General features: G+C 42.6%; 1 long non-coding RNA gene across 1 annotated transcript, besides 1 other annotated feature; it reads right to left on the bottom strand.

Annotated features, from left to right (window-relative positions):
• Window positions 1–8,678: 8,678 nt before the first annotated feature.
• Window positions 8,679–9,687, bottom strand: LOC124907757 (uncharacterized). Its single transcript, XR_007086300.1, has 2 exons — window positions 9,558–9,687; window positions 8,679–9,352 (listed from the first exon to the last, which is right to left on the bottom strand). It is a non-coding gene; the product is annotated as an uncharacterized LOC124907757 (long non-coding RNA).
• Window positions 9,683–9,732: an enhancer, noted in NCBI's record as "active region_15683". NCBI's record gives its function as "activates an Ori minimal core promoter by ATAC-STARR-seq in GM12878 lymphoblastoid cells {active_cell/tissue: GM12878}" and the evidence as "EXISTENCE:reporter gene assay evidence [ECO:0000049][PMID:35858748]".

Here is an 11,891-nt window from a genome sequence, read left to right as displayed (position 1 = left end):
GCTTCCTGGAATTTCCTTACATTATATTCATACTACATTAGCCAAAAGTAAGACATATGGTCACATGTAACTGTAACCTTTTTATTCCAGGTGGCCATGTACTTGGCTTAAAGTTAAGGATTCTACTACTGTAGAAGAAGGAGAGAACGGATTCTAGAGGACAACTGGCAGTCTCCTTGTAGCTGAGACTTTTTTGTGTATAAAAATTAATAAAATTGGTTTATTAATTTGTTTATAATGCTCAATACCTTACAAGCTCTCTCAAAAATACTATCTCTTGAATTAGAAAGTATATAATCTCTCTATTTTTATCCATTACTCTTCCATCTCCAACATCTAACAAAACACTTAACAAACAACAGAAATGCAGTAACAATTTAAGTTCCTTTTTTACTATAAAGAAAAGAGAATGATCTTTTTTCACTACCTGCTATTGTCTTACACACTGTATTTTGTTCCATACCATTTTCCCTCTATGACTGCATACTATCATTACTTCTGTTCATGTGTAGAAAGGCTTCTCTGACTCACACAATGAGGAAACAGACTCAGAGAAATTTAAAAACTTGCTAAAAGTCACACAGCTAGCGCTTGGCGGAGCTGAGATTGAAATCCAGGACTGTCCAACTCCCAGATCCATCTGTCTTTCCTATAGCACAGTACATCAGAGCTCAGGGCATCCTCGGGAAAAAATGAAAAATTCAGAGAAACAAGTGTTTTTATCTACAAAACTGTTGTCTACCAGTGATTGGAATTATTGATGCTATGAGTTACAATCAATGACTGTCTACTAGAAAAAAGCAAAATTCCCTGAGTTTAAGAAACTCTTAATTTTTTCCTCGTATCAAATTATGTGAAGATACTGAAGATACTAAGATCTGAAAATTGTACATTTATTTATTCACAAATGTACAAATACTTACTAGGAACCACAACATCCGCAGAACTCTGCCAAACTCTGTGGACAGAGATGAAAGAAACAGTCCCCATTTATAAGCATCTAATCTGGTGGTAAAAGAATCATCACCAACAATAACAAATATTGTTATTTTTTGATAATATTGATAAGGGCAATGCAGAAGCTAGTTCCTTAGACAGCCTAGCAGGGTCAGGGAAGGCTTCCCGAGGTGACTCTTTTTTTTTTTTTTAAATGGAGTTTAGCTCTTGTTGCCCAGGCTGGAGTGTAATGGCGCGATCTTGGCTCACCACAACCTCCACCTCCCGGGTTCAAGCGATTCTCCTGCCTCAGCCTCCCGAGTAGCTGGGATTACAGGCATGCGCCACCACATCTGGCTAATTTTTTGTATTTTTAGTAGAGATGGAGTTTCTCCATGTTGGTCAGGCTGGTCTCGAACTCCTGACCTCAGGTGATCCGCCTGCCTCAGCCTCCCAAAGTGCTGGGATTACAGGCATGAGCCACAGTGCCCAGCCTCTCGAGGTGACTCTTAGGGAGGATTTAAACTATTCTAGAAAGGCAGTCCAAAGTCAGCCAGGCAAAGAAGCATGTGTTGTGTGCGGGGCACACAGCACAAAGAAAGGTGTTGGGGACCAGTGATAGCTTTTCCTCACCCATCACAAACTTCATGGCTGAGGCCCCTATAACAAGACAGATTAACAAGAGAAAAGCATACACATTTATTTAATTTAAATTTATGTGACACAGAAGCCTTCAGAAATGAAGACCCAAAGAAAGAGGAAAAATTATATTTTTATGGACAGTGTTGCAGAAATATGATCAGAGGACAGAAGGTATGAGCCAATGGCAATGCACTGTGGGGAGGTAAGCAAGGCCTGTTTGCTTAGAGTCTTCTTGGCATCTCTGTGTGTCTTCCAGAGTAAGGATAGTCTTCTCCTCTGGGTATAGGAAAGGGTCTATCCGCAGAATATCTGGAATGAGGTTTTATGACCTATTTTCAGGGAAGGTCAGCTGGGTTTTATGGCGCACATCAGGCGAGAAGGGGCAGAGGGAATTCTTTCTAGTTTCTATGGCTTGCTTCTGCTGTTTCGTTACATGTCAAGGTGCCATATTTTGGGGAAGCATATTTTCAATCCCATCAAAGGCAAGAAGAAGAGAGAATGTGAGGCACTGAAGAAGTAGCTACTAGCAGCTATTCTGTTTTCATGTTGCCTAAGAATCAATTCAGAGGTGATGCTTGTTAACCAGAAAGATTTCTGGATCCTACCTTCATGGTTTCAGATTCTACAGGCCTCAGACAGGGCCCAGTGATCTGTAATTTTATTTATTTACTTAATGTTTTTGGAGACAGGGCCTTCCTCTCTCACCCAGGCTGGAGTGCAATGGTGCAATCACGGCTCACTCCAGTCTTGACCTCCTGGGCTTAAGTGATCTTCCGCCTCAGCCTCCTGAGTAGCTAGGACCACAGGTGCATGCCACCCCACCTGAGTAATTTTTAAATTTTTTTGTAGGGATGAGGTCTCACTATGTTGCTCAGGTTGGTCTTGAATTCCTGAGCTCAAGAGATCCACCGGCCTCCCCGTCCCAAAGTGCTGGGAGTACAGGCATGAGCCACTGCTCCTGGCCAAATCTGTAATTTTAATAAGTGGCAATTCTTTTGGGGATGGTCCAAAGACTATACTTTGAGAAATACTGAAGCAAAAGAAGGGGGAGAAGACAGGAGTTAAAGTTGGCAAAGCAGGCAAAGGCATGGTCTGTCTAGCTCATGAGTTTAAAGTATACCCTGATGGAAATGATATGGAGGATTTTAAGCAAAACAGTGAGAGTTATGACTAGGTTGATGTTTTAGAAAAATCATTTCAGCTCAAGTTTGCAGGGAAGAAAGGCCAGGAGACTGGAGATCTTAACCAAAGGAGGGGGATGAAGATGGAGACATGAGAATGATTTTGAAAGATATTTTGAGAGGCTGGGCGCGGTGGCTCACGCTTGTAATCCCAACAGTTTGGGAGGCTGAGGCGGGCGGATCACCTGAGGTGGGGAGTTCAAGACCAGCCTGACCAACATGGAGAAACCCTGTCTCTACTAAAAACACAAAATTAGCTGGGCATGGTGGCGGCGCGTGCCTACAATCCCAGCTACTCGGGAGGCTGAGGCAGGAGAATCGCTTGAACACGGGAGGTGGAGATGGAGGCTGTGGTGAGCCGAGTTTGTGCCATTGCACTTCAGCCTGGGCAACAAGAGCAAAACTCCATCTCAAAAAAATAAATAATAAAAAAGAAAGAAAGAAAGATATTTTGGAGGTAGAATATCCTGGATTTGTTCAATACGTACTTGAATATGGCAGTGGTGGAAGGGACTGAGTAGGACTTTAAGATACTTTCTGAATTACTGCAAAACGGGAAAAGGGGTGAATAGATTAGTCTAAAAGTAGAAGAACAATTGTAGGGTACTTGAGGCTGAGGATCCAGTAAAAATATTGCTGGCAAATCTTAAAATCTTTTTTTAACTGAAAAAAGAAAAAGAAAACCACATTTGATTTTGTTCCTAAACTTACCAGGTCCAGTCACCATTGAATGCCATGACAGTTTCCTAAAATCAGGCTTTTTTTTTTTTTTTTTTTGTGAGATGGAGTCTCGCTCTGTTGCTCAGGCTGGAGTGCAGTGGCCCGGTCTCGGCTCACTGCAGCCTCCACTTCCCGGTTTCTAGCGATTCTCCTGCCTCAGCCTCCTGGGTAGCTGGGATTACAGGCACACGCCACCAAGCCCAGCTAATTTTTGTGTATTAGTAGAGACGGGGTTTCACCATGTTAGCCAGGCTGGTCTCAAACTCCTGACCTTAGGTTATCTGCCCACCTGGGCCTCCCACAGTGCTAGGATTACAGGCGTGAGCCACCACACCTGGCCAGGCATTCTAACCTCAGGTTAAACACTGGTCCCTGGCCAGGTGCAGTGGCTTACACCTGTAATCCCAGCACTTTGGGAGGTCGACGCGGGCAGATCACCTGAGGTCAGGAGCTCTAGACCAGCCTGACCAACATGGCCAAACCCCATCTCTACTAAAAATACAAAAATTAGCCAGGTGTGATGGCACACACCTGTAATTCCAGCTATTTGGGGGGCTGAGGCAGAAGAATCGCTTGAACCTGGGAGTTGGAGGTTGCAGTGAGCTGAGATTGCACCACTGCACTCCAGGCTGGGTGACAGAGTGAGACCCTGTATCAAAAAAAAAAAAAAAAAAAAAAAAAAAAGACAAAAAGCAAACACACACACACAAACCCACTGATCCCAAGCAAAATATTCTGTTTCAGGGATTGTCTGATCACTCCCTCACTCGCTCTATCACTGCAGGTTTCCTCAAAAGGGATAATTTTTCCTTTGCTACCCATGGGGGAAGGAAGAAGAAATGAATTATCTGTCCCAAGAAGGCTCTCACACTCCTTCCAGAACTATGTGAGTGCATTGCCAATCCTTTACAGAATCAGTCTACCAGTTTATAACATGTGGACATTAAAAATATTTAAATTATTTGCATTAGTGGCTTATGCATAAAAGTACATGGATGAAATCCACTTATAATAGATGTGCATCAAAAAGATGTGAATTAAGGAGCTTCTTGGAAATAAATGATATTGCATCTAGAGGCTGGTAGGACTGTTTTCACATGATTACCTAAGAAAAAAACATTAGAATTTGCAAGCCAGGCTTTAATGCCCTGCCAGGATCACAGCTTCAGCAGCAAACAGGAACAGGGTGAAAGCATGGTTATGGAGTAATAACTGGCACTAAGAATAAAACAGACTCATAAATGGAGGAGGGTCTCAATTATACCTTTATGAGTCAAACCAGTCATTCTGGTTTGCCCATTATGTAGCAATAGTACCCTGGTCAGGCTAGCACTCACAGATCTTTAACATTGATCTTAGCAACTGAGTATTGTCTCAGGTTCTTATTTATTGAGAGAAATCAATAGCCATTTGCTCATCCTCAAGAACATTTCATTTGTATTTTTTGATAGAAAATTCTTGAAAATCTGGCTTGCATACCACCTCCTCCTATAATCTCGAACTCTTAGAAGCAGAAATTGCAAAGACTTGATTCTTGCCATCAAGGAGCTCATCATCTGGGGGGATAAAACAAGTTAGGTACACAAAGTACCAGGTAATTTGTGATATCTGATTCCAGAATGATAAAAAACTAAGTCCTGTAAAAGTAGAGAGGAAAAAAGGATCACTCTGGGGTGATCAGGAAGGATTTCATGGAAGATTAAAACTGGGTCTTGAATTGTACAATCTCTGCTTATTTTTATATATATATATATATATAATTTATATATATATAAATATACATATTTATATATTATATTATATAATATATATTATGTTATATATTATAATTATATATTATATTATATTATATAAATTATATATATATAAAATAAGCAGAGATTGTACTATATATATATATATATATATATATATATATATATTTATTTATTTATTTTAACAGGGTCTGGCTCTGTCACCAGGCTGGAGTGCAGTGGCATGATCTTGGCTCACTGTAACCTTCACCTCCTGGACTCAAGTGATTCTCCCGCCTCAGCCTCCTGGGCAGCTGGGATTACAGGCATGTGCCACCACACCTGGCTAATTTTTGTATTTTTTGTAGAGAATGGAGTTTCGCCATGTTGCCCATGCTGGTCTCAAGTGATCAGCTGACCTCAGCTTCCCAAAGTGCTGGGATTACAGGCGTGAGCCACCACACTGTGCTTAAATTTGTTTTTTTGTTTGTTTGTTTTTTGAGACAGAGTCTTGCTCTGTCGCCCAGGCTGGAGTGCACTGGTGCAATCTCAGCTCACTGTAGCCTCTGCCTCTTGGGTTCAAGTGATTTTCTTTCCTCAGGCTCCCCAGTAGCTGGGATTACAAGCTCCCACCACCACACCTGGCTAATTTTTGTATTTTTAGTAGAGACAGGGTTTCACCATGTTGGCCAGGCTGGTCTCGAACTCCTGGCCTCAAGTGATGCCCCTGCCTTGACCTTCCAAAGCGCTGGGATTACAGGTGTGAGCCACCACATCTGGCCATCTGCTTGAATCTCATTCACATATCTATGTGTATTAGTTTTCTACTGCTATATAACAAATCGCCACATGCTTAGCAGCTCAAAGCAACATTTACATATTAGCTCATAGTTCTGAGGGTCAGAAGTCTGGAGGGGCTCAACCGGGCTCTCTGCTTAGAGTCTCACAAGGCTGAAATCAAAGTGTTGGCCAGACTGGGCTCTTATGTGGAAGCTTTCAGAAAGAATCTTCCAACTCCATTCAGGTTGTTGGTAGCATCTAGTTCCTTGCAACTGAGGTTTTGTTTCCTTGGTGGCTGCCACTCAGAGGCCACTTGCTGCTTCTAAAGGCCATCCACATTCTTTTTCATGTGGTCTGCTCTATCTTCAAAGTCAGGAATAGCCCAATAAGTTCTTCTCATGCCTTGTCGATCTCTCCGACATCATCTTTTGCTCTCAGCCAGAGATAACTCACTGCCTCCATATCTTAAAGTCAACTAACTTGGGACTGTAATTATCCCTGCAAAATTGCTTCATAGCATTGCCTAGATTTGTGTTTGGTTGAAGAGCCAGGGGATAGGAATCTTAGTGGCTACTTTTAAAATTCTGCCTACTACATAGATTCTATGAATCTATCTTAAGGTGCTTGTCAATGTTTATCAATTAAATAACAATTATTTATTGGCCTTTTACTAAGTACATCACATCAGTCACACTTATACTAAATGGAATCTTCTTTTTTTTTTTTTTTTTGAGATGGAGTCTCGCCCTGTCACCCAGGCTAGAGTGCAGTGGTATGATCTTCGCTCACTGCAACCTCCGCCTCCCGGGTTCAAGCGATTCTCCTGCCCCAGCCTCCCAAGTAGCTGGGATTATAGGTGCGCGCCTCCATGCCTGACTAATTTTTGTATTTTTAGTAGAGACAGGGTTTCATCATGTTGGTCAGACTGGTCTCGAACTCCTGGCCTTGTGATCGGTCCTCCTCTGTCTCCCAAAATGCTGGGATTACAGGCGTGAGCCACCTTGCCCGGCCAGAATCTTATTTTTCATCTGAAAATTGTTTCAGGTGCTTCAAACCTGAAATCTATCCCAGGCTAAAAAATTTTTTTAAGTCAAACTTTTTTTTCTTCTTTTCTTTTCATTTCTTTCTTTCTTTCTTCTTTCCTCCTTCCTTCCTTTCTTTTTTTTTTTTTTTTTTTTTTTTTTATGGAGTCTCGCTCTGTTGCCCAGGCTGGAGTGCAGTGGTGTGATCTTAGCTCACTGCAACCTCCGCCTCCCGAGTTCAAGCTATTCTCCTGCCTCAGCCTCCTGAGTAGCTGGGACTACAGGCACGTGCCACCCTGTCTGGCTAGTTTTTGTTATTTTAGTAGAGACAGAGTTACACCATGTTGCCCAGGCTGGTCTGGAATGCCTGACTTCAAGTAATCTGCCCACCTTGGCCTCCCAAAGTGCTGGGATAACAGGCATGAGCCACCATGCCCAGCAAACATTTTCAATAAATGATTAAATATAACATATTTAAACTGATGTTTCATAATGTTTCAATGAAGACAGTAACAGAATGTCATCGGTCTGTTTTTAAGCTACACATACTACTTTTTGCCTCATCTTCACCTAGGGAATAGAAGGTTAACTCCTGTTCTCCGACCCTCATCTCATTCATGGAAAATCTCCATCATAATGAGTCACTGTTATCAACTTCTGCATTCATGATGATGATCTCCCCTCTGCCCTGCATATGTTTTGTTCTCATCTGCTTCTGAAACTCTGATACATGTAATGACTTCCCATTCATGTTAGGCCATTCTGGTGTTACCATAAAGGAATACTGAGACTGGATAATTAATAAAGAAAAGCGGTTTAATTGGCTCACAATTCTGCAGGCTGTACAAGCATGGCACCAACATCTGCTTGGCTTCTGGTGACGGTCTCAGGAAGATTCTGATCATGGCGGAAGGTGAAGGGGAGAAGTGATGTCTCACATGGTGAGAGTGGTAGCAACAGAGAGTTGAGGGGGATGGTGCCACACACTTTTTAAACAACCAGGTATCTCATTAACTCAGAGTAAGAACTCACTTATCACCAAAAGGATGGTGCTAAACCATTCATGAGGGATCCGCCCCTGTGATCCGATCACCTCCCACCAGGCCCCACCTCCAATATTGGGGATCACATCTCAACATGAGATTTGAAGGGGGGACAAACATCCAATCTATATCCCCATCCGTTATACCTATCAACATTTTACCCATAGCTCAGGCTTTGCACTAATCTTCCTTTCACCATGCCTTCTGACCTACATTTTTTCCTGAACAACCCCTTTAGCAATCAGTAATATTACTGAGTTACATCACTTGTATTTCGGTCTTAATTGTGTGTGTATGTATATAAATATATCTATTTATGACAGTGTTTTTTAAAACTATTACCCCAAAATATTTAGTGTAGGAAAGGCATTGAAAAATATTTATGTTTTTAAATTGCTCTGATTAGAAAAATCTGACAGCTTCCCATGACTTCCTGCTGTGAATACTATCTCATTATCAGATTCATGGAATTAAAAAAAAAGGAACCAGGGTTTTAACTAATGAACAATATATAATCACCTGGTTGTTGCTCATATATGGATGGGCTTGTATCTGAAGCTTTTAAGAAGGGTATTTCTGGTCAGGTATTTATATTACCAAGCAAATAATAATAAAACATTCTGGAGCAGAGAGGCATTTTTATTAGTGACTTAACTTAGATTTTCTGTGGCTATCCATTTTATCCATTTTCTTTCTCTCAGCTTTTGTGAGTAAGACAATAGCTGCTCACCAAGATCTTCCTCGTCCATAGAAATAGAGTTATGACTGGAAGCAGTTGCGCAACCTGGAACTAACTTTCCCAGCAGCTCTTGCAGCTGTCTGTGGCCATGTGATTAATTTTTGCCAACAAAATATAAGGAGAAATATGGTGTACCAGTCCCTAGCGTAGCCCTTTAAGAAAGTGTCCACACCTTCCTTCCCCACCCCACTTCCTTTAACTGGACCAAAGAGACATCAAGACCTTAGGAAAGCTGAATCTCAGATGGAGGAGCTCGCAGTCCTGATTTTCCATGCGGAAGACCGTTGCAGCTGACTTGGAATATTCACCCTGCTTTATGTGTGATAATCTTCTATTGGGTTTGAACCACTGTACTTTAGAGTCCATTGGCTTCAGCAATGTAGTCTCTCATAACTAGTAAAGTTCATTTTTGTATTCTTGCAAGCATCCCATAGATATGTAGTGTAGCTACCACAGCATACACTTATTTAGAAGCCATCCAAAGGGGCTAAAATCTAAGTGATCACTGAGGAAGATACTCCCCAGCTCTGACTCTGAGGAATAGCTGTTTTCATCTCTGTGAGAAAAAATTATTAGAAGAAACTATTTTTAGTAATTGAAAGCAGAAATTCTAGTTAGCAATTGCCCTGAGACAATGTGGTTTGGGTTTATCAGTTTGTGACTTACAGTCAAGAAGACTTGCCATCTTGCCCGTCTCTGCCTCATCAGAGAAAGTAGAAACTAAATTCTGTTCTACCTAAGGCCAAAACAAGGCTACTCACCCACGTGGATCTCCTCTCATTTTGAATTCTCTCAGGTGTTCTGTCTTCCAGGAAGTGTTTCCTGACCACCACCTCTCCCCACTAATGGCTGGATGAGAGAGAAGGAACATCTGTTCCTTCTCTAAGTACCTCTAAGATTCTTTGTAGATCCCTATCATTGGTTTTACTGCACAACCCCTCAGCCTCATGGCCAACCCTACACCCATTTGTGAGCTCAGGGACACTGTTTTGTTTTTTGTTTTTTTGTTTGTTTGTTTCAGACAGAGTTTCGCTCTTGTTGCCTAGGCAACAGAGTGTAATGGCACGACCTCGGCTCACTGCAACCTCTGCCTCCTGGATTCAAGTGATTCTCCTGTCTCAGCCTCCTGAGTAGCTGAGATTACAGGTGCCTGCCACGATCCCCGGCTAATTTTTGGTATTTTTAGTAGAGACAGGGTTTCACCATGTTGGCCAGGCTGGTCTCAAACTCCTGAGCTTAGGTGATCCGCCCACCTCAGCCTCCCAAAGTGCTGGGATTACAGGTGAGAGCCACCGTGCCCGGCCAGGGACACTGTTTTATTCACCTTTTGGTCCCTCTGCCTACGACAGTGCCTGGCATACAGCAGACGGTTTATAAATGATGGTGGAATGAATGGATGAACCTAAAGACCTCATGAAATTGTCAGAGGCGTTTGAACCAGAGCAACTGCATCTTGAATAGGGGCTGAGTGAAACGAGGCTGAGACCAATTGGCTGCGTTCCCAGATGGTTAAAGCATTCTAAGTCACAGGACTTAGTCAGCACAAGATACAGGTCATAAAGACCTTGCTGATAGGCCGGGCGTGGTGGCTCACGCCTGTAATCTTAGCACTTTGGGAGGCCGAGGTGGGTGGACCACCTGAGGCCAGGAGTTTGAGACCAGCCTGACCAACATGATGAAACCCCATCTCTACTAAAAATACAAAAAGTTAACAGGGCTTGGTGGCCGGTGCCTGTAATCCCAGCTAGTCAGGAGGCTGAGGCAGGAGAATGGCTTGAACCCTGGAGGCAGAGGTTGCAGTGAGCCGAGATTGCGCCACTGCACTCCAGCCTGGGCAACAAGAGGGAGACTCCTCCTCAACAACAACAAAAAGGCCTTGCTGATAAAACTGGTTACAGTAAAGAAGCTGGCTAAAACCCACCAAAACCAAGATGGCCACAGAGTAACCTCTGGTCGTCTTCACTGCTACACTCCTACCAGTGCCATTACGGTTTACAAATGCCATGGCTACATCAGGAAATTACCTTGTATTGTCTGAAAAGGGGAGGCATAAATAATCCACCCCTTGTTTAGCATATAATCAAGAAATAACCGTAAAAATGGGCAACCAGCAGCCCTCTGCCTTTGGAGTAGCCATTCTTTTATTCCTCTACTTTCTTAATAAACTTGCTTTCAATTTACTCTGTGGACTCGCCCTGAATTCTTTCTTCAGCGAGATCCAAGGACCCTCTCCTGGGGTCTGTACCTGGACCCCTTTCCTGTAACAAAATGGTATTTTTCTGTTTATTCTCATAGGACACAACTTCCATAATACTCGTTGCTGCCATCATTTCCAAGCCTCCTCAGAATCTTTTTTTCTTATTCCCATTACCATGCCTCATTTTCTTGTGGTTGAGACTTACATTGCCTTTACTTAGATCAGCAAGACCTATTTGCTCTCTTAAGATATTTCTTTCCGGGCCAGGTGCGGTGGCTCACGCCTGTAATCTCAGCACTTTGGGAGGCTGAAGCGGGCGGATCACGAGGTCAGGAGTCCGAGACCAGCCTGGCCAACATGGTGAAACCCCGTCTCTACTAAAAATACAAAAATTAGCTGGGCATGGTGGCGCGTGCCTGTAATCCCAGCTACTCAGGAGGCTGAGGCGGAGAACTGCTTCAACAAGGACCAGGGAGGCAGAGGTTGCGATGAGCCGAGATCACGCCACTGCACTCTAGCCTGGGCAACAAGAGTGAAACTCTGTCTCAAAAAAAAAAAAAAAAAAGAGAGAGAGAGATTTCTTTCCAAAAGTCCTTCTTGATTATTAATTTTTAATATTCTCAATGCTTTACTGCATTGGACACAGTGTGTCAAGAGATAGGGCTGAGGAATGGAGAGACTCCTGGATCAGAAGTCAGGAAAACTTGGGCCTCTTTTTGTCTTTAAAGACTTCAGTAAAATGCCACAAAAAAGGCCACTGTATAACAATAGTGTGGATTAGAAAAGAATAAGCTATAGAACCATTCTTCAGACAAAATGCTGCTTACAAATAACACTGCATTCTAAAACAGATCAAAGCCGAGCTTGATATGTGGCCTCTGAGAAGCAAAATTTGAAA

This window comes from Homo sapiens, chromosome 2 (assembly GCF_000001405.40).
Source record: "Homo sapiens chromosome 2, GRCh38.p14 Primary Assembly".
NCBI lineage: Eukaryota > Metazoa > Chordata > Mammalia > Primates > Hominidae > Homo > Homo sapiens.
Note: the sequence above shows the minus strand (reverse complement) of the source record. Positions and strands in the feature narration are given on the sequence as shown.